This window comes from Homo sapiens, chromosome 1 (assembly GCF_000001405.40).
Source record: "Homo sapiens chromosome 1, GRCh38.p14 Primary Assembly".
In the NCBI taxonomy this organism is placed as follows: domain Eukaryota; kingdom Metazoa; phylum Chordata; class Mammalia; order Primates; family Hominidae; genus Homo; species Homo sapiens.
In genome coordinates this window covers 121,161,277-121,184,356 of record NC_000001.11, presented here as the reverse complement: position 1 = coordinate 121,184,356, position 23,080 = coordinate 121,161,277, and the positions used below count along the sequence as shown (strand labels likewise).

Below are 23,080 nucleotides of genomic sequence, written 5' to 3'. Positions count from 1 at the left end.
CTGATACCGGGTTGGAGAGGCAGGAAAAGCGGAAGAGGGAGCGAAAACCAACGTGTTCGGTGACAGACCCCAGCGCCGACTGAGCCTCTAAAGCGACTTCAGCTCTGCCCCACCAACACCACCGCGCGCCCGGGAACAGCCGCTCCGGGAAGAAACCTGAGGGGACTGCGGGGGGCACGAGGGACAGCTGAGGGAAGGGAGGACGCGAGAGAAACAGCGCAAGCACGCTGAGGGCCGGGGGTTGCCAGGAGAGGGGCCCGCGGACCCGCAGAGCGGAGGAAGGTCCGGGAGAAAAGGGGCGGGACGGAGGAGAATCCGGGATCGCCTGGCAGAAAAAGAGAAGGGAGTTTCTGAATCCTGGGAAGAGGAGGCGTGGGTAGGGATGCTTAGCCCGAGATCCGACAGCAGGGAACCGGAGCGCTCCGGGGGAGGGGCTTAATGCTGGGGAAGGGATGTCTTAAAAGAGGAGAAGCTTTAAATTAGACGATCGGAGAAGGCTGAGGGAATTGCTATGAAGGGGCGGGAGCTGAAGTGTAGAGGACTCCTTTAGACAGCAGAAAGGGAAAGCCGTTGAGAAGTTCCCTTCAAACTCCACCTGCCTCCTCTCCAATTCAAACTCCACTCCCTTCTCCAAAAGTTAAAAGGAAAGCCAAGTTTGCCACGCTCCCCTGTTCCTACTCAATAAATACTTCTTCTACTCCGCCACCGGGAAAACAGAAAAAAAAAACTAATTTCCTTCCCAATATTAGGACTTAGAAAAGCTCTAGGTCCCGCAACTTGAATTTTAGCCTAGGGGAATCAAAATAGTAGGAGCATTACTCTTGTTTCCTTTTTCAAAATCCCACACCTCATCCTTCCTGCGACGCCATGTCTACCAACATTTGTAGTTTCAAGGACAGGTGCGTGTCCATCCTGTGTTGCAAATTCTGTAAACAAGTGCTCAGCTCTAGGGGAATGAAGGCTGTTTTGCTGGCTGATACTGAAATAGACCTTTTCTCTACAGACATCCCTCCTACCAAGTAAGTCATGCTAGTGGCGGGCAACGGTAGCTTTTAACTAAATGGGAACACTTATGGCTTGGATCTGTGGGAGTCAACAAGGAGGTTATCATTTCGGTGTTTCAGCCACTCCCACCAGTTTGATGATCCCCTTGGAATATATCTAAGTGGGCAGACTGTCTGGACAAAGTCTGTGGTTTAGCCAAGGTGGTCAGTCCTGATGTAATGCTTCTAGTTCAATTGCAGTCATGCGACCACACATCTCTTAAGTTTGATCCCTGGTTCAGTGCCCTGCCCAACCATCCTATTTCACTGAATCAAGTCCGTGGCGTAGACTTTAGGTAAATTCAGGCAAAATTTTCTGTACTGTTGGAGAGGAGAGGTCATTTAAGTTTTTCATTTTTATCCATGAAATTTTGCACCAAAAAAAAAAAAATCCGTTTTCTATCATTATTTGCAATTGGCATCCTAAATCAGATCCGTTGTTCATCAAATTCAGTTTTCTTTCCTCAAAACTCTCTCTCTCTGAAAGAGATGTAAATAGATTTTTATGGGATGAAAAATAGAGACTTAGCCTTAATCCTTATCTCCAATAAAGACTATTTTGGACATTACACATTTGTTCCCATAATTGAACCCTTTTAAAATCTGTTTGTTTTCAGCCACTAACTGCTTTTGGGTGTAGAGTCCTTAAGAATTTGCTTCCTATTTGGTAAAATAGCCATTTTATTTTACTCAAATAAACCTCTTTCTAGCTCTAAATGGTACTTTCCCTTTCCATAATCAACATATATATGCCCTACATGAATCTTCAAAATTTAGTTATTTATTGAAATTTTATTATTAAAAGGAAAGTAATTATCCAAAATATGAGTGGACAGTTATTCTCTAAGTCTTTGGATATAGAGCCAGAGGAAGCAGGTTAATAACCACAATTCATTTTAAATGAATTTCATGATAATGATAGAAACTTTACAAGTTTTTTGATTTACCCAGGTAAAGCTGTGTACTCTTCCTTTCTTGAAATCTTTTCTGAATTGGTCTAAGTGTAATCATGTCTAACAGCAAAGCCAAAGGCTCTCATTTATTGCAGAGATAAATGTGTTATTTTAAAATCTTTTTAATTTTTTTAAATTCTAAGTTAATATTTTACATTTGTGTGTGTGTACATCGTATATGTATTTCAAAAAAGGGAAAACACTAGAAAATAAATCATAGAACCTACTGTTACAAAGTTCTGTGATTCATTGTCCACTGCTTTTTCTTTTTAGTAGCTCATACACAAATCTAAAATATTAACCCATTCATCTTTGCAATAGCTATGGTAAGTAATAGGGCAGTCATAAGGAAGGCTAGGTGAATTGTTACAGGTTAGACCCAAGTCTAGAATAGAATCATGTTTTTCCTATTTTCTACCCTTCTTTGTAGGGGTTAAAATAATAATGAATTAGCGTGCTAAGATGTATGTGAATCAATGAACACATAAAAATTTTTTTAATGGAAAATTTGTCAGATGTTTATGTTGAGCTCACAAATATGAACTGACTCTTTAAAAATATACTATAGTTCTATGTTAGCTTTCAGCTCTTTGGATTGACAAAATTTGTGCTAAATCAAGCGTAGAATTACTATCTGATCCAGCAGTTCTGGGTACATATCCAAAAGAATTCAAAACTGGATCTTGGAAGAGATATTTGCACACCCATGTTCATTAACAGCATTATTCACAATAGCCAAGAGGTGGAAGCAATCCAAATGTCCATTGATTCTACAGATGAACAGATAAACAAAATGTGGTATAGGGCGCCTATAGTTCCACCTACTCAGGAAACTCTGGTAGGAGGGTCACTTAAACCCAGGAGATTCATTACACAGCAATGTGATTATATTTAACACATCTGCTCTGCACACATAAAACTTGTTAAGTTGGTAAATTTTGTTAATTTTTTGCCACAATTAAATTTTTTGTAAAGTACATCTGACTGTCTTTTTATACCTTTCTCTCTCCAGCGCAGTGGACTTCACTGGAAGATGCTATTTCACCAAAATCTGCAAATGTAAACTGAAGGACATCGCATGTTTAAAATGGTAATTTGTGGCACTATTCTGGATAGCTCTGGGTTTGGAAGATGGATATTGACACCAAAGCATAGAGAAAGGTTCAGTGGGCTGCAACAAGGACTGGTATAAAGCATGCAATGAGCCATTGAAAAATTACTTATTACTTAGAGCTATTTTTTAAAAGGGTTTTCTGATGCTTCACATTAGTATATAATTTTACAGTTTTCAAAGTGTATTCACAGTATCCGCTTCAATTTTCAGAACAAGGCAATGTAGGTTAGGGGGGAGAAACACCTGGATTTACAATAATAAAAACCATGTTTGAGGTCTGACCCTACCCTTACTCTCTATGTGATCTTGAGTGAACTCCTTTAGCCTCTAAACTGCTGAACCTCTGTTTTCTTATTTAATTTCTAGGTTATTACTCCTTTCTTTGTTTTTAGAGGGGTCTCATACTGTTGCTCAGGCTGGAGTGCAGTGGCATGATCATAGCTCACTGTAGCCTTGAACTCCTGGGCTCAAGTGATTCTCCTACCTCAGCCTCCTGAGTAGCTGGGACTACAGGCAGGCACCACCAGGCCTGGCTAAGTTTTTTATTTTTGTAGCAATAGGGTCTTGCTCTGTTGCCCAGGCTGATCTCAAACTCCTGGCCTCAAGTGATCCTCTCTCCTCAGCTTCCCAAAAGGCTGGGATTACAGGTATGAGCCACTGCATCCTACCTTAATTTCTTTCTTTCTTTCTTTTTTTGAGAAGGAGTTTTTGCTCTTGTTGCCAAGGCTGGAGTGCAATGGCGCGATCTAAGCTCACCACAACCTCCACCTCCCAGGTTCAAGTGATTCTCCTGCCTCAGCCTCCTGAGTAGCTGGGATTACATGCACGCACCACCATGCCCAGCTAATTTTTTTTTTTTTTTTTTTTAGTAGAGACAGGATTTCTCCATGTTGGTCAGGCTGCTCTTGAACTCCCAACCTCAGGTGATCCGCCTGCCTCGGCCTGCCAAAGTGCTGGGATTACAGGCATGAGCCACCCCACCCAGCCATTCTGTCTTATTAAGATAGAAATTTAATAATCTTCTGTGTTTACCTTATCAAGTTATTATAAAGAGCAAATATGAATGTTAAAGTGCTCAATAAACTATAAATTACAACAGCTGAGAGCTATTACTATAATCTTTTGAGAAGTAGACGTGTTATTATTTTCATTTTAGGAGGATAAAAGTTGAAATTTTCTCATTTAGATGGGGTTTGTATTTAGAAGGGGTTTGTATTATAAATGACAATCCTAATAATTTAAATTGGCAAGCTCTTCTTATGTGCTATTTGATTTCATTCCTTTATTTAAGCTATACTTGTATTGAGGAACTAGTATGTGGTAGTCATTGTTACAAGGGCTGGAAATACAACAAAAACTAGATGAAGTCACTGGCCTTTGGACATTATTTTCTTCTTTCTTCTTTTTTTTTTTTTTTTTAAGACGGAGTTTTGCTCTGTCGCCCAGGCTAGAGTGCAGTGGCACGATCTCAGCTTACTGCAACCTCCGCCTCCCAGGTTCAAGCGAATCTCCTGCCTCAGCCTCCTGAGTAGCTGAGACTACAGGCACGCACCACCATGCCCAGCTAATTTTTCATATTTTAGTAGAGACAGGGTTTCACCGTGTTGCCCAGGCTGCTCTCAAACTCCTGAGCTCAGGCAGACCACCTGCCTTGGCCTCCCTAAGTGCTAGGATTACAGGCGTGAGCCACCGCACCCAGCCCACACGGCTAATTTTTGTATTTTTAGTAGAGACGGGATTTCGCCATGTTAGCCAGGCTGGTCTCAAACTCCTGACCTCAAGTGATCCACCTGCCTCGGCCTCCCAAAGTGTGAGATTACAGGTGTGAGCCACCGCACCTGGGCAACGACATTTTTTTTGTTTTGTTTTGAGACGGAGTCTTGCTCTGTTGCCCAGGCTGGAGTGCAATGGCATGATCTTGGCTCACTGCAACCTCCGTCTTCTGGGTTCAAGTGATTCTCTCACCTCTGCCTCCCGAGTAGCTGGGACTACAGGCACGTGCCACCATGCCCAGTTAATTTTCGTATTTTTAGTAGAGGTGGGGTTTCGCCATGTTGGCCAGGCTGGTCTCGAACTCCTGACCTCAAGTGATCCACCCGCCTCAGCCTCCCAAAGTGCTGGGATTACAGGCATGAGCCACCGCACCCGAAGAACAACATTTTCAAAAGAAAACCAAAACAGGAAAGTTAATTTTAATCATATATTTTGTCTAACCCAATGTATCCAAAATATTATTTCAACATGTAACCAACATAAACTACTAATGTAATATTTTATATTCCATTTTTTGGTCTTACTCTTTGAAATCTGGTGTACATTTTACACTTAACAGCACATCTCAATTCAGGCCAGCCCCACTGCAAGTGTACAACAGCCACATGTGGCTAGTGGCTATTATTCTTGACAGCATAGATCTGGACCTTGGTATGGAAAGGTTTTTATTTTCATTTTTGGCTATTGAAGAGGTTTTAACCAGGGAGCAGAATGATCTGATGTAGCCTCGCTAGACTGTTAGCTCTGTGAGAACAAGGGCTTTGTTTTGTTTACCAGTGTATTCCTAGCACCTAGAGCAGTGCCTGAAAGATAGCAGATACTCAATAAATGTTAGTTTAAGTGATGAATCAATGGATGAATGAATGAATATAGGCGGTAATTAAAGTCATGGAATTTACTTTTGCAATATAGTCTTACAAATAACTGGCACTCCTAGTCCAAACACAACTTTTGTTTTCATTTGTTTGCCTTTCAAGCAAGTTATAATTAGAAGACATATTTTAGGTGGAATGGTACCTTTTACAGTAATCTTTATTGGGTCTCATAAAAATGACTGACTCACAAATCTCACAGAGTAAGACTAAGCTTGAATAAGAATTTTTACAACTCAAGGTATAAACAGTTCATGTTGCTATTTTTTTTAAAGTACTAGCTAAAACATTCCCTGTAGGTTCACTCTATTTAATATGTGACTAGCTAGTTAAAAAAAAAAAAAAATTGTGAAAGACTGAGGTACTTATAATCAGCTGGATAATTCTGAAAACTGTAAAAACTTTTGCAACTTTCTCTGGAGGCTGTAGATTGCTTTATTTCTGAGTTCCTTCAAAAACACTGAGACTAAAATTAGAGCAGCCAGATTGTATTTGGTTTACAGGGACTCATGCTGTCTTCCTACCTCTCCATCTGTTGAAACAGTTTTTAGGTGCTGGCATGAAACTAGAACATGTAAGAACCCAACTTGCCACAGTCCTGGGATAGCAAAAACCTTTACCCACAGAACTGAGTTAATTTAATTTATTTTGTCTGTACAGCACATCAATTTGGGTGGTTTATAAAACAAATCACAACATTATGGCATCTAGAAGCTAACTTCTGAAGGGAGAATGCATAAAATAATACTAGCAGGACAAGCATGGTGGCTCATGCCTGTAATCCCAGCACTTTGGGAGGCCAAGGCAGGTGGATCACCTGAGGTCAGGAGTTCGAGACCAGCCTGGCCAACATGGTAAAACCGCATCTCTACTAATAACACAAAAGTTAGCTGGGCATGGTGGCACACGCCTGTAATCCCAGCTATTCTGGAGGCTGAGGCAGGAGAATCACTTGAACCTGGGAGGCGGAGGTTGCAGGCACTCCAGCCTGGGTGACAAGAGCAAAACTCAGTCTCAATAATAATAATAATAATAATAATAATAATAATAATAGCAAAGAAATGTGAGAATATTTTACTATTATTCACTTAAAGACTGCTTTCCCACTTGATGGTAGAACTGCACCCCCATCCCATCCCAAAGATCTCAGCAATGAAAGTTGTTAGGAAATGAGATCTAAATTATATGGTCTATTTATATAAGCAATATGAAAAGACTTATCTGGCTAGTTATTACATGGTATCTAGTAACATTTACTTTCTTTTCTAGTGGGAACATTGTAGGTTATCATGTGATTGTTCCATGTAGTTCCTGTCTTCCTTCCTGCAACAACGGACACTTCTGGATGTTTCACAGCCAGGCAGTTTATGATATTAACAGACTAGACTCCACAGGTAAGAAACAATTGACTTGGACATTCCTGTAACATTTCTCTATCAATACCTGAGTAAAATTCCCAATAGATCATTTCAGGATTCCTTTTAGATCTTCTTAGCTGGATTAGCTAGAGTGAAACTTCAATTCTTTTTTCCCAGACATTCACTTATGAAAACTATTAGGCAAAATTCATTGTCATTTCTATGTTCATCCTTGTACTTAAGGCCTCAAACTTGGCTGAATTTCTTGGTCTTTTAAAATGAATATTATAATTGCTCTTAACTGCTGCCTTGATACATATTCTGACTCCAGAGAATTTTTGAAGATTTTAGATTTGATAGTCTAATGCATGTGTGTGTCTGTGTGTGTGTGTAAGAAAGGGAGAGGCCAAGCCTAGGGCAATGGGAGTTGAGAGGAGGAGGACTAAGTAACCTCTGTATTTAGTGATGCTTCAGAATAAAAACAGACATTTCGACATCTATGTTAATACGTTATGACAGAATTTTAGTCAAGGGAAATATTTGACACCAAAGTATAAAGTATGTTGTACAGGCACAAGTGGAGATATTGTAGGTTCAATTCCAGACCACCATAATAAAGCAAGCAAATATCACAATTAAAGCAAGTCACACAATTTTTTGGTTTCCCAGTGTGTATAAAAGTTATGTTTACAATATATTGTAGTCTATTAAGTGTGCAATAGCAGGACATTTAAAAAACAATGTGCATACCTTAATCAAAAAATACTTATTCGGCCGAGAGCAGTGGCTCATGCCTGTAATCCCAGCACTTTGGTAGTCCAAGGCGGGAGGATCACTTGAGCCCAGGAGTTTGAGACCAGCCTGGGCAGCATGCTGAGACCTCATCTCTACAAAAAAAAATACAAAAATTATCCAGGCATCGTGGGGCATACTATCGTCCCAGCTACCCAGGAGGCTGAGGTGGGAGGATCACTTGAATTTGGGAGGTAGAGGCTGAAGTGAGCTGTGATCATGCCAGTGCATTTCAGCCTGGGCAACAATATGAGACCCTGTCTCAAAAAAGAAAAAAAAATGCTTTATTGCTAAAAACTGCTAATGATCATCTGAACCTTCAGCAAGTCATAATCTTTTTGCTGGTGGAGGGTCTTGCCTTGATGTTGATGACTGCAAACTGATCAGGGTGGTGGTTGCTGGAGGTTAGGATGGCTGTGGCAGTTTCTTAAAATAAGACAACAATGAGGTTTGCCGCATGGATTGACTCTTCCTTTCACAAAAGATTTCTCTGTAGCATGTGATGCCATTTGATAGAATTTTACACATAGTAGAACCTCTTTCAAAATTGGAGTCAATCCTCTCAAATTCTGCTACTACTTTACCAACTATGTTTATGTAATATTCTAAATCCTTTGTTTTCATTTCAACAATATTTACAGCATCTTCATCAAGAGTAGATTTCACCTCAAGAAACCATTTTCTTTGCTCATCCATAAAAAGCAACTCTTCATCCATTAAAGTTTCATCATGAGATTGCAGCAATGCAGTCACGTCTTCAGGCTCCATTTCTAAGTGTAGTTTTCTTGCTATTTCTACCACATCTGCAGTTACTTCCTCCACTGAAGTCTAAAACCTCTCAAAGTTACCCATGAGGGTTGGAATCAACTTCTTTCAAACTCCTGTTAAGACTGATATTTTGACCTCCTCCCATGAATCAGGAATGTGCTTTTCCAGGTTTTCAATGTACTTTGCCCAGATCCATCAGAAGAATTACTATCTATGGCAGCTATAGCCTTATGAAATCTATCTCTTAAATAATAAGACTTGAAAGATTAAATTACTTCTTGATCCATGGGCTGCCAAATAGATGTTATGTTAAGGCATTAAAGCAATATTTATCTCCTTGTACAATGCCATCAGAGCTCTTGAGTGACTAGGTGCATTGTCAATGAACAGTAATGTTTTCAAAGGGATTTTTCTGAGCAGTAGGTCTTAACAATGGGCTTAAAATAGTTAGTAAAACATGCTGTAAACAGATTTGCTGTCGTCCAGGCTTTGTTGTTTCATTGACAGCGCACAGGCAAAGTATATTTGGCATAATTCCTAAGAACCCTAGAAATTTCAGAACAGTAAATGAGCATTGGATTCAACTTAAAGTCACCAGCTGCATTATCCTCTAACAAGAGATTCAGCCTGTCCTTTGAAGCTTTGAAGCCAAGTATTACTTCTCCTCTCTAGCTATGAAAGTCCTAGATGGCATCTCCTTCCAATAGAAGGCTGTTTTGTGTATATTAAAAATCTCTGCCAGATGCAGTGGTTCACGCCTATAATCCCAGGACTTTGGGAGGCCGAGGTGGATGGATCACCTGAGGTCAAGAGTTTAAGACCAGCCTGACCAATATAGTAGAACTCTGCCTCTACTAAAAATAAAAAATTAGCTGGGCATGGTGGTACATGCCCAGCTACTTGGGGGACTGAGGCAGAAGAATCACTTGAACCCAGGAGGTGGAGTTTGAAGTGAGCCGAGATCGCACCATTGCACCAAGAGTGAAACTCCATCTGAAAAAAAAAAAAGGAATAAGAGGCCGGGCGCGGTGGCTCACACCTGTAATCCCAGCAGTTTGGGAGGCCAAGGCGGGCAGATCACCTGAGGTTGGGAGTTCGAGACCAGCCTGACCAACATGGAGAAACCCCGTCTCTACTAAAAATACAAAATTAGCTGGGCATGGTGGCGCATGCCTATAATCCCAGCTACTTGGGAGGCTAAGGCAGGAGAATGGCTTGAACCCGGGAGGCGGAGGTTGCGGTGAGCCAAGATCACGCCATTGCACTCCAGCCTGGGCAACAAAAGTGAAACTCCATCTCAAAAAAAAAAAAAAAGAAAAGAAAAGAAAAATCTGTTGTTTAGTGTAGCCACCTTCATCCATAATCTTAGCTAGATTTTCTGGATAACTTGCTGCAGCTTCTACATCTGCACTTTTTGCTTCACCTGAACTTGTATGTTATAGAAATGGCTTCTTTCCTTAAACTTTATAAACCAACCTCTGCTAGCTTCAAACTTTCTTCTACAGTTTCCTCAACTTTCTTGCCCTTCATAGAATTGCAGAGAGTTAAGACCTAGCTCTGGATTAGGTTTTCGCTTAAGAGAATATCATGGCTGGTTTAATCCTCTATCTAGGTCACTAAAACTTTCTCCATATCAGCAATAAGGCTATTTCACTTTTTTATTCTTGTTTTCACTGGAGTAGCACTTCTTATGTCCTTTAAGAACTTTTCTTTGCAGTCACAAGTTGGCTAACAATTGGGCATAAAAGGCCCAACTTTCAGCCTGTCTCAGCTTTCAATATGTCTTCCTCACTATGCTTAATCATTTCTAGCTTTTGATTTACAGTGAGAGACATGCCACTCTCTTTCACTTGAACACTTAGAGGTCATTGTAGGGATATTAACTGGCCCAATTTCAATATTGTTGTATCTTAGGAAATAGGGAGGCCCCAGGAAAGAGAGAGAGAACAGCTGGTCAGTGGAGCAGTCAGAACACACAAAATATTTATCGATTAAGTTTGCAGTCTTAAGTGGGTGTGGTCTTAAGTGGGTGTGGTTCATAGCACCCTGAAACAATTATAACAGTAACATCAAAGATCACAGATCACCATAATATATATAATAATAATGAAAAAGGTTGAAATATTGAGAGAATTATCAAAATGTAACAGACACAAGGTAAGCATATGCTGTTAGACTTACTCAATGCAGGATTGCCAAAACCTTCCATTTATATAAAGCCCAGTATCTATGGTGTACAATAAACTAAAGCACAATTGAGGTATGCCTATACTAATTATTTTAGCAAGGCCAGGCATGGTGGCTCACACCTGTAATCCCACACTTTGGGAGGCCAAGACAGATGATCACTTGAGGTCAGGGGTTCGAGACCAGCCTGGCCAATATGATGAAACCCCCCTTGAACCTAGGAGGTGGAGGTTGCAGTAAGCCGAGGTGGCACCGCTGCACTCCAGCCTGGGCAACAGAGTGAGACCCTGTCTCAAAAAAAAAAAAAAAAAATTATTTTAGTAAGAAAGTACACTACCAATTCTTTTAAAAAAAAAATTTCTTTTTCCTTGTGTTAAGGTGCTGAGGCACTGAAATACTAATTCTTTTTTTTTTTTTTTGAGACAGAGTTTCACTCTTGTTTCCCAGGCTGATGTGCAATGGTGTCATCTTGGCTCATGGCAGCCTCTGCCTCCCGGGTTCAAGCGATTCTCGTGCCTCAGCCTCCCGAGTAGCGAGATTACAGGCATACGCCCAGCTAATTTTTTTGTATTTTTAGTAGAGACAGGGTTTCACCATGTTGGTCAGGCTGGTCTTGAACACCTGACCTCAGGGGATCCGCCTGCCTCAGCCTCCCAAAGTGCTGGGATTACATGGGATTACAGACGTGAGTCACCATGCCTGGCCTGAAGTACCTTTTTTTTTTTTTTTTTTTTTTGAGATGGAGTCATTCTGTCACCCAGGCTGGAGAGCAGTGGCGTGATCTCGGCTCACCGCAACCTCCACCTCCCGGGTTCAAGTGATTCTCCTGCCTCAGCCTTCTGAGTGGCTGGGATTATAGGTGTGCACCACTACACCTGGCTAATTTTTGTATTTTTAGTAGGGACGGGGTTTTGCCATGTTGCCCAGGCTGGTCTCGACCTCCTGACCTCAGGTGATCTGCCCACCTCAGCCTCCCAAAGTGCTGGGATTACAGGTGTGAGCCACTGCACCGGCCAAAGTACCAATTTTTAAAGGGGATTTATATAATACTTTTTATATTGCCTGGAGCCATTGAGTTTTGTTATAAGACACATGTTCTCCATGTCTAACATCTATTTACACAACAGACCAAGTTGATTTTAAGGAACTTTTTTTTTTTTTTTGGAGACAGGGTCTTGCTCTGTCACCCAGGCTGGAGTGTAGTGGCACAATCTTGGCTCACTGCAGCCTCGACCTCCCAGGCTCAAGCCATTCTTCCACCTCAGCCTTCTCAATAGGTGGGACCACAGGTGTGTGCCACCATCCCTGTCTAATTTTTTGTATTTTTCGTAGAGACCAGTTTTTGCCATTTTGCCCAGGCTGGTCTCGAACTCCTGTCCTCAAGTGATCTGCCCACCTTGGCCTCCAAAGGGCTGGGATTACAGGCCTGAGACACCTCGCCAGCCGACTTTAAGTAACTTGACAATCTAAGTTGACACTAGCATTCTTAGGTTCCTAAATGCATGTTTTAGTCTCCTTTAGAACTTAAATGTATTTTTTAAATATATGATTTGCCTTCACAGACCAAAAGATCACGAATTGCAAGATAGGTTGTCAAGGGTCTTTAAATCCTCCAATTATGTTTAGATTTTTGTAGATTTGATTTTTTTATCTGGGACTCAACTGTGGCTCTCAATCTATCATTTATGGGGTCTTAATTTAAAACTTTGGTATGTTAAGAAGGCCATTTTCATGTAAGGACTTATCTGAACTCCCCTAAGTGGGATACAGTCTCCTAATTTAAGCCTCCAGTTTTATATTTGTGTTGCCCATGGGACACATTAAAGGAAGTTTCTGCTTTGATAGTATTTTTCCTGCTTTACAGAATTCAAAACACAGGGTGGAGATTTTTCAAGTTTGATTTACTTTTTAATATTGGTCAATTTTTCAAAGATAAAAGCCCCACATTCTTCCATTTGCACTGAATCTAATCCATAAGAAACAGATGTATCACAGGATTTCCTTCCTCCCTTCTTAACAGAGAAAGGAAGGTGCTGCTTCTGTCAGATCCAATCTCTTAGTTTATTTTTCCTCCTTTGAACCAATTGTGCTGAGCTGCTTCATGTCTCTGAGTACTGACTCCAAGAATATCAAGCTTCTGCTTTGTAACCCTAATATTGTGATTTCAAGCAAGATTTTCTAGATGCTTGGTATCAAAGCAAGTTTCTAATGGCGCCACAACTGTCCTTGAATCACCTGAACCAGCAGTGTCAAAGGAATGCATAGACAAGCTTTATAAATTCTATAATGTTTAAACTGAAAAGGACTCCTGGAGGTCTGTTTTCTAGGCTAGTCTTCATTTAGAGACCTGATTTCCCAGAACTTTCTGGAGGAGCCTTGGGAAACCTCAGCTCAAATTTCCTGAAATTGGCAAATGCCCTCAGAGTCAAAATGGCTTCAGCCCTCCATTTACATTTATGGGTTCTAATTTTCACTTTGATTTTTGCCTCGCAATTCCTTACAGCTCTTCCTGTCAGCTCTTCCATGACATTTACCTGGAGCAGAACACCATTCATTCTTAGGGTGGGGGTGGGGATGGGGTAGCGTTTTCTATTATAAACAATTCAAACACAAAAAGATTATAGAAAATAATAAGATACACATCTGTATCCCTACCAGCATCAGATACATGCTAAATTCTTGCCAGATTAGATTCCAGTATCTCCCTCAGTCAAGGTAAACAGTTAATTATTTCTACTGTTTCAACAATGTCACACTACACATCCCTGTGTATGTCGCCTTGAACCACCTATGCAAGATGGGCAGCTGAGGAAGGGATGAGCAATGGGCTGTATTTGCAACATTTTTAAAAATTCACAAAATGGAATACTCTCCAGAAGTAAAAATAAATGAGCGAAATCTACACAAGTTAACATGGATTAACCTCAAAAACATGACGAGTGAAAAAGCAAATTAGAAAACAATATGTAGTGTAATAACATTCTATACAAAATTTAAATCCACTAAACAGTAATATATATTGTCTATGTTGCATGCATTTGTAGTAAAACCATGCATGGTGTACTAGCAGTGGTGAACACTGGATTCAAACCAAATCTCCAAATCCTGGCTCATTCCATTCCGCCATGTGGCTGCTATCTCAGTGTATATGGGGTGGGTATCCTGAATTGCTGGATCCTCTTTGTGTCCACACTGATAACTGGACAGCTTAAGATTTGTTTTTCTGGCCAAGTGTGGTGGCTCACATCTGTAATCCCAGCACTTTGGGAGGCCGAGGCGAGGGGGATCACCTGAGGTCAGGAGTTCAAGACCACCCTGACCAACGTGGTGAAACCCCATCTCTACTAAAAATACAAAAATTACCCAGGCATGGTGGCATTTGCCTGTAGTCCCAGCTACTCGGGAGGCTGAGGCATGAGAATCACTTGAACCTGGGAGGCAGAGGTTGCAGTGAGCCAAGATTACACCACTCGTCTCCAGCCTGGGCAATAGAGCGAGACTCCGACTCAAAAAGAAAAAAAAAAAGATTTGCTTTTCTTGTGAAGTTAATTGGCTATCCTAGAGGTCAGTTATTTTCCATTTAGTGTTTTTAACTAATAATGTAATATATGCCCAGAGTAATAAACTTGTCATTATCCTCTACTGTATGTTTAGTCATTTACTGTATACCTGTGCTTCATTCTTCAATATGAAATCTGACTATTCTTTCTCAGTGAAGTTTTTGATTATTCTTTTGTTTATTATAGTGACTGCTGCAACCTGGCCCTAAAGTTCAGTTTAAAGCTCTGCCTGTGGACTGAAACCCACTGGTACCAAGGATTGCAGTTCATATTATAACTGTCTCCGAACCCTTGCTTTTTTTCTGAATCAGAAAAATGGCACCAGCTACTTCTCTGCTTATTGAAGGGATGAGGAGGCTTATTCAGGACTTCTCCCTGAACCCTCCAAAGAGGCATTTAATCTAAAAGGATCTTGTGAGATCTCCATTCTTAAACATCATTAAAATAGATCAGAAAATTATCAGTGTATAGTGATTATGTTATAATGCAGCTGGAGGCAGAGTTTGAGTAAATGGACTCCTGAGAGCCTTTTGAGCTGTAAAATTCTAGAATTCAAGCCCTTGCTTAAAAGGATTTAAAGAATGTTTATGTCCTAGCCCTTTAAAAAAAAGTGTTTGCCAGGCATGGTGGCTCATGCCTGTAATCCCAACAGTTTGGGAGGTCAAGGAGAGAGGATTGCTTGAGCCCAGGAGTTTGAGACTAGCCTGGGCAACATAGTGGGAACCTGTATCTACAAAATAAAATTAGCCATGTGTGGTAGTACACGCCTGTAGTCCAAGTGACTTGGGAGGCTGAGGTAGGAGGATCACTTGAGCCCTGGAGGTTCAGGCTGCAGTGATCTGTGATTGTGAACCGTGATCCTGCCAGGCACTCCAGCCTGGGCAACACAGAGAGAATTTCTCTCAAAATAAATAAATAAAATTTATGTCCTAGATGGATAATATTAGGTAATTTTATTTGCAGTACATTCTTCAATAGCTACTCTTTTTACTGCTAACACTATGGTTTACATAAGAATATTAACATATAAAGTTTCGTAATTTGTGTTCTGAGTTATAACAGTAGTAAGCATTAAAGAATTTTATGATTTTTTATTTTCAGGTGTAAACATCCTACTTTGGGGCAACTTGCCAGAGATAGAAGAGAGTACAGATGAAGATGTGTTAAATATCTCAGCAGAGGAGTGTATTAGATAAATGGAATTATGATATATATGATATACAAACTTTTTTCTATTTAAAAATATATTAATGGATCAACTTTAAAATTGTTAGTTGCCAGTGATCTTTTTTGGAAAACAAAAATGGGGCATTTGTTGATTTATTTATTTTCCGTCTCTAATTAGTTACCTCAGTTTGATTGAAGCCAGTGGAGTTGTGCTTTTCCTCTACTTCTACTTCCTCTCCCCCACCTTTTTCTGCCCAGTGTAGGTGTATTCTTAAATTCAGACGGGAAGATTCTTTCACATATCACTCAGTTACCTCCCAATCTGGGGGAGTTTTTCTTACAACTTGATACCAGATACCATTAATTTTACATTCCTGAATAAAGGCCTAGTACCCACGCATATTTCAACCATGCATATATCAAGTTCAACTGAGTTTTAATAGGGGATTAAAAAAACAAGCTGTTAGGTTTCCATGGGCACTGGTTCTCATAGGTTCTATTGGTGATAACTGCTTTAACATGGAGCAAGAGTTTGTGAATCAGGAAATAGAATAAATTAAAATTTAAAATATATAGAGGAATCCTCTTGATTGCTCAGCATGATGTTAGATAAATGAGTTTGTCAGAAAATATCAGTATACGCTGTTTACCAATGTTATTTATTTACATTCTTCTAAAGCCATTATGGATATTGTATTATGAGAGCTAAACCTAAATAAGTTATCCTGTTCCCTAGGACCTTCTCTGTAAATAGTGAATTTTAGACGAGTAGTCTGTCCTAAATCTTAAATAGAAAAAAAACTAAAGCGATTTGCTTAAGCCATTGTACATTATAAAGAGCTGTTTTGTTTTGCTTTGCTTTGCTTTGTTTTGTTTTTTTAAAGCTGCATTCAGAGCCACAAAGGAATAGGAAAGTAGGGTAGTGTTGGATTCTGGTTTTATGTAACTCTAAAATAAATGTATCTCTTTAATATCTCAGTTGTAGGGATTTTGTCAATACCAAAGCAGACTGAGTTGTGGTTTTGTAAATAAAGTTTTTTCTAAAAATGACCATTCTTCCTTTAATTTTTTGTTATGCCCACATATTGTATGTAAAAATATAAATAAATAGTACTTAAAGTATAGAATATAAGGCTAATGTTTATTGAATACTTACCATATGCCAGACACTGTTCTAAGTGCTTTAGATGTTTAACTCCTCACAACAAACCTATGAGGTAGGTACCATTATTATTCCTTTTTTTTAAAACTGGTAAATCAGGTGAGACAGAGAGAAGTTAAGTAATTTGTTTAAGGTAGCATAACCGGTTAGAGGTGCTCAGACAGAAGACTGACTCCAAAAGCTCCTGCTCATATGATTTATTTATGGTCTTACTTAGCCGGGATACCTGCTGGGTAACTAACTGCATTGTTATGTGCCCTAGATGAGGGCAGAAGTGACTGATTTGAAGGTTGAATAAACTCATGCAGGGTCTTAGGGTATAAGTGACCTGAGGGCATTGAAAGAATCATTTGCCATAAACCAAGATAAAAGGTGCTTCAGGAAATGCTATTACTCCCTCCTGGAAAACGTTTCCAAAAATCTTTCACACCAACCATTAACACTGACAGAAGGCCATCAAAAGAACCAATGGAATGAGTATGGAATAATTTGTTTTGCGATTTGGTTTTTTGGGGGTGTGTGTGTGTGTGTGTGTGTGTGTGTGTTGTAACCTCAAGTTCTTAGGTGAGCATAATCTATAAGAGAAAAAATATATATATACTTCTTTGGTTAACTTGCTCAACTAGAGAAGAAAAGTTTAATACTAGACTAGGAAATGTGGCAAATTTAAAATTCAATAGAGTTCATCTGGTTTCCGTTCAGCTCATGCCTTCAAAGGCTATGGTTGACCTAGGGTCTCTCTGAAAAGCAAAAGCAAGACAGAGGTGCACTGATTGAAGCAAGCCCCAAATGTGATTCTACTCCAGCTGGGGAATATTTCAAATTACTCAACTACCTTTGGTTAACTGGATTATGGGAAAGCCAATTCTAAACAGAAAGCTGATTAATAAAGTTTTATCTAAAGAAATATATTCATGACACTAATGTGGTTTGAGGGTTTTTTGTTGTTGTTGTTGTTTTCTTTAGAGACAGGGTCTCGCTTTGTTGCCCAGGCTGGAGTGCAGTGGTGTGATCATAGCTCACTACAGCCTTGAAGTCCTGGACTCAAGCAATCCTCCTGCCTCAGCCTCCCCTGTAGCTAGGACCACAGGCATGCACCACACCTGGCTAAATGACACTGGTTTGTGGGGCTTTTTTTGTTTGTTTGTTTGTTTTTGAGAGAGGGTCTCGCTCTGTTACCCAGGCTGGAGTGCAGTGACATGATCTCAGCTCACTGCAACTTCCACCTCCAGGGTTCAAGCGATTCTCATGCTTCAGCACCCCCGAGTAGCTGGGACTACAGGCATGCACCACCATGCCTGGCTAATTTTTGTAGTTTTAGTAGAAGGAGTTTTGCCATGTTGGCCAGCCTGGTCTTGAACTCTTGGCCTCAAGTGATCCACCAGCCTCGGCCTCCCAAAGTATTGGGATTACACGCATGAGTGTGAATCCAACACTGTTTTTGGGATTTTTTTTTTTTAGATGCAGTTTCACTCTTGTTGCCCAGGCTGGACTGCAATGGTGTGATCTTGGCTCACCACAACCTCCGCCTCCCAGGTTCAAGCAATTCTCCAGCCTCAGCCTCCCAAGTAGCTGGGATTACAGGCACGTACCACCACACCCAGCTCATTTTGTATTTTTAGTAGAGATGGAGTTTCTCCATGTTGGTTAGGCTGGTCTCGAACTCCTAACCTCAGGTGGTCTCCCGCGTTGGCCTCCCAAAGTGCTGGGATTACAGGCATGAGCCACTGTGCCTGGCCTGTCAACACTGTTTTTAAATAAAAGCAAATTACATTCACTCTGGTAAGACCAAAGCAGAATCACATACATGGATTTAGGATACACCTTCTACTCCTAGTATAATTCCTAGGCCTAGAAGATCCATCTATTCTTTGGTCCTCTTTTAATATTTCATTCAATTCAACACACCTGTATTATTCTCCAATAGTGTGGCAAGAATTGTACAATGACATGCTCACACTTGCCTTCAGGGAGTACACAGTAAGTTGAGGAAAGGATAGAACTCTGTGAGTCCATTTATTTCATTGGGTTAAGTGATTTAACAAAGGCATGCTTAAAGTGCTATGACCCCAGAGATGAAAGAGCAATCATTCTGAGTAGCAGGAGAGAGTGGGAATTGAGCAAGAGAGCATAGGAATTGAGAAAGCTACTGAGAAGAAATGATACTTGAGGCAGGCTTTGAAGCAGTTAGGAGTTGCCAGCTGGGATGAGAGTTTTAAGCAGAGGGAATAGTGTAAACAAATTGATGGGAATTTAAAAGTATCTTGTTTATTTGGGAAGTTCTAAGTTGTCCCCCATACCTTCCAAGACATGTAATAAAAATTAATTCGGCCAGGCATGGTGACCCACACCTATAATACCAGCACTTTGGGAGGCTGAGGAGGAAGGATTGCTTGAGGCCAGGAGTTTGAGACCAGCCTGGGCAAGATAGTGGGAACCCATCTCTACCAAAAAATACAAAAATAAGCCCAGGGTGATGGCACAGGCTTGTAGTCCCAGGTACTTGGGAGGCTGGGGCGGGAGGATCACTTGAGCCTAGGAGGCTGAGGCTGCAGTGAGCCATGATTGGACCACTCTGCTCCAGCCTGCGTGACAGAGTGAGACCCTGTCTCAAAAGTTAAAAAATAAATAAATTTTTTTTAAAAAAAGAATTAATTACAAGGTGAAGTTAACAAGGAAGGTTATATGTTATGAAGAATATTCTACTATACGATTGTAAGTTTAGACTTGGTCCAGTAGCAATGTGGAGTTATTGAAGTTTTTAAGCAGGAGAATAAAATGATCAGATTGAGGATGATGGCTCTGATGGTAAAGTATAATCAAGTTTAGCTTTCCTAATGTCCTTTCTTTGATGCACTTAACAATTTGACCATGGAAATTAAACTTACTGCCTTTACCCTAAGAACCCATGTAGTTCTTCAAGTTCTCGGAATTTCTTGGGTTTCATGGAGCCTCTGGTCTGCAGTAGGGCATTGCCTTTTTTTTTCCCCTTTTCCATTTTGTCATTCTTGCAGTTCAAGGAAGGGGCAGTGAGTCATCAGCTCACCCACCATGACATTTCTGCTACTTTATCTTTCTCCTTAAGCTAGTTTCTCAACCTCAAACTTAGCCTCTGAGGAGGCATCTTGGGTGGAGCCTAATCTTAAAGACATACATTTTAAATAATCAATGGTTCTGAAAACCAGGTCCTTAAATATTAGCAATTGAGAGAGATTACCCAAAAAGAACACTCTTTTGACCTCTGAGTCACATGTGGCTGGTTAAGAATAATCTATATTGTTTAACTTTAGTGAGGAAGTGACCATGATATATAAACCATGATCTAGAAGACAACTAACCACAACACAAATACGGAGTGAGGGGAGGTAGGTGAGAATATGGATCAAATAGTCTTGATTCAGTAGTGAATTGCTCGATGAAAGCTTTCCCTATTTTAACATTCCTGCTTATAAAAGGAAATAGTTTCCTTTTCTGCCTTTTTTTTTTTTTTAACTTTAAAAGCAGCCTAAACCATAGTTTCTTTCTTGCCTGGTATTGAGCGTATGCCAAATCTACCCTAAACTGCACAGATGGAAAAAATTAGTCTATGTCTGTGGTACCTCTGGGGTTGAATATTTTTAGTACCGAAATATTTAGCTAAAGATTCCTTTTTCCAACACTCTCAAAGAATCCCTTTATTGTCATCCAATGGAAAAACTTACTGAGATAGAAATTAACTATATCATGCTTTTGTATATTCCTTTACAGTTTATTAAGAGCTTTCACATGCAGTGTCATTTACTCCTCAGAATAACCTTGGGAGCTATCATTCCCATTTTACAAATTAAGAAAGAGTCCAGGCATGGTGGCTCACGTCCGTAATCCCAACCCTTTGAGAGGCTGAGGCCAGAGGATCACCGGAGGCCAGGAGTTTGAGACCAGCCTGGGCAACAAAGTGAGGCCTAGTGTCTACAAAAATTTTAAAAATTAGCCAGGTGTGGTGGCGCGTGCCTGTAGTCCAGCTACTCAGGAGGCGGAGGTGGAAGGATCACTTGAGCTGGGACATCAAGGCTGCAGTGAGCTGTGATTGTGCCACTGCATTCCAGCCTGGGTAACAAAATGAGACCCTGTCTCAAAAAATAATAATAATAAGTAAATAAATAAATGAGCAAATTAAGAAATAAAATCCTGATTGCAATACCCAGAGAGCTGGAAGAATCTGAACTTCAATCAGGCTTCTCATCTTAGTTTAGGGTTTTCTTCTACCTCCCTGACTCTAAACTGCTGTCCATTTTTCCCTCACTAGCTATAAAACTTAGGAGAAATTTCCTTTGACTTTCAACCTCAAAGCCCAGTTATTTTTCATTAATCAGTTAGTTCAACGAATATTTATTCAGTGCCTACTATGGGCAAAATAGATGCTGGGGCTGCAGAACTAAGCAAGACAGAATTGCTGCTGTCATGTGGAGCTGACTTTCTAGTTGAGGGTAAAGAAGAAAATGAGTTACCATTGATAGAGGGCTTACTGTGTGCCAGGCATTGTTCCAAGTGCTTCACATGTAACCCCTAACTGATGGATCCTATCCTCCCCATAGAGATCAGGAAACTGAGGCACAGAGAGGTTAAAGAACTTGTTCGTGGTCACCCAGCTAGCAAATGACACCACTCTAAGATTTGGAAAGCCCAGAATTAAGTAGCTTAATAACTGTGCTTTCTTTTTCTTTTTTTCCTTTTCTTTTTTTTTTTTTGAGATGGAGTCTTGCTCTGTTGCTCAGGCTGGAGTGCAGTGGCGTGATCTCAGCTCACTGCAACCTCCACCTCCTGAGTTCAAGCAATTCTCCTGCCTCAGCCTCCTGAGTAGCTGGGATTACAGGCACATGCCACAATGCCCAGCTAATTTTTTTGTATTTTTACTAGAGACGGGGTTTCACCATGTTGGCCCAGCTGGTCTTGAACTCCTGACCTCAAGTGATCCACCCACCTCGGCCTCCCAAAGTGCTGGGATTACAGGCATGAGCCACCGTACCCGGTTCTTTTTATTTTTCAATGCAGTTGTCTTCCATTCAAATAAATAAAACAAATAAAAATTTAAAAATTAAATACAAATAAAATGTAAAAATAAAAGTTTTCCATTAGCAATCTTCCTGTACACATCTTTTCCTATTAGAGCTTAGTTGATTTTTGTTTTAAATTGAGATGGGGACAACAACATCACCCTTTTCAGTAAGGGAGATTTGGTTTATCTGTAAACAATAAAAATGCTAGTCTTATACACTATAGAGAAAGAAAAAAATTATGCAAAACTCTTACTTTGCAACTTTGCTGTTCTATCTAGAAACAAAGTCTTTTTTACAAGTCCAGATTTTTATCTTACAAGCAACAAAAGTTTACAGCAGAGTAAATAAGCTCTTTAAGCTATTTGTATGTCTCAAATATTTCATAATAAAAAGTGAATTAAATGACTGCCTTTTGCAAATTGCTCTAATCTCAGCCTTCTTTATAAGCTTGTATTTAAAAATCTATTCATATGGAATTTCAGAAGCAGCCTTGCCTTAAATGAGCACTACTGAATCTTCATAACAAGATTATGTATTTGTTATGTGGAAAGCAAAAATAGGTATCAAATTCATATTCGAATTTTGCATTTTGAGACTTACAGAGGAATGGGTTGACAAATAGCTGACGATTAATTGGATCTGCTAAATATGGGCACCAATGAAGTGTGCCCACCAGAATGCATCTCTACACCTCCGTTCACACAAATCACTTCCTCTGGAAAGGCGCCCGTGGTAAAAGTAGGCATATGGGAATGATTCACTTGGGGAAAGTTGTACCCAGAATATCAAAACAGTTTGCTTTCTGTCGCTATATTCTTGCCGTAATTTTTCTACCCAAAGGAACCACCTGCTATTATGGCTGTGACACCTGAAAAGCTTTCTGTATATTGCAGGAGATTGCTCATGTGTGGGTGCGTTTTCAGGCTGTTCAGTGGTATTTTAAAAAATAGTTCTTTGGGGAAAATATTCTCAGAGACTGGAACATTGCCTTGTCTTATCAAAATTGCTCTGTAGTCATGTTCACAAATACCTTCAAACATTGAGCTACAGATGGAATTCAGTAGAAGACATACTGAGCTAATTTCCTTTGTGTGACATTACTCAGAGAAATCAAGCTGTCAGTATCCTGAAGAACAAGCCCTCAAAGTGAGATGGTGGCCAAAGCCATAGGAAGCAGAAATGACTGAAGGGCTTGCCCTTCAAAACCTTCTTCCCATTCTCCCAAATTCATCTTTTCCAATTAAAATTTATTACAAAAAAAACCCAAATAGACTCAGCTTGTCTGACTTGGGATG

At 40.2% G+C, this 23,080-nt stretch overlaps 1 protein-coding gene across 2 annotated transcripts; it reads left to right on the top strand.

The window, feature by feature from the left end:
• Positions 1 to 16: 16 nt before the first annotated feature.
• Positions 17 to 16,711, top strand: FAM72B (family with sequence similarity 72 member B). 2 transcript variants are annotated; one of them, NM_001320149.2, is made up of 4 exons: positions 17 to 899; positions 3,009 to 3,086; positions 7,025 to 7,149; positions 15,522 to 16,711. In NM_001320149.2, the coding sequence occupies exons 1-4, from the start codon at positions 868 to 870 to the stop codon at positions 15,614 to 15,616; spliced, it is 330 nt and encodes a 109-aa protein (NP_001307078.1). In that variant the 5' UTR covers positions 17 to 867; the 3' UTR covers positions 15,617 to 16,711. The 2 variants fall into 2 exon arrangements, with proteins under 2 accessions (NP_001307078.1, NP_001094380.1); NM_001100910.2 differs by having other exon boundaries at positions 17 to 1,019.
• The last annotated feature ends 6,369 nt before the right edge of the window (positions 16,712 to 23,080 follow it).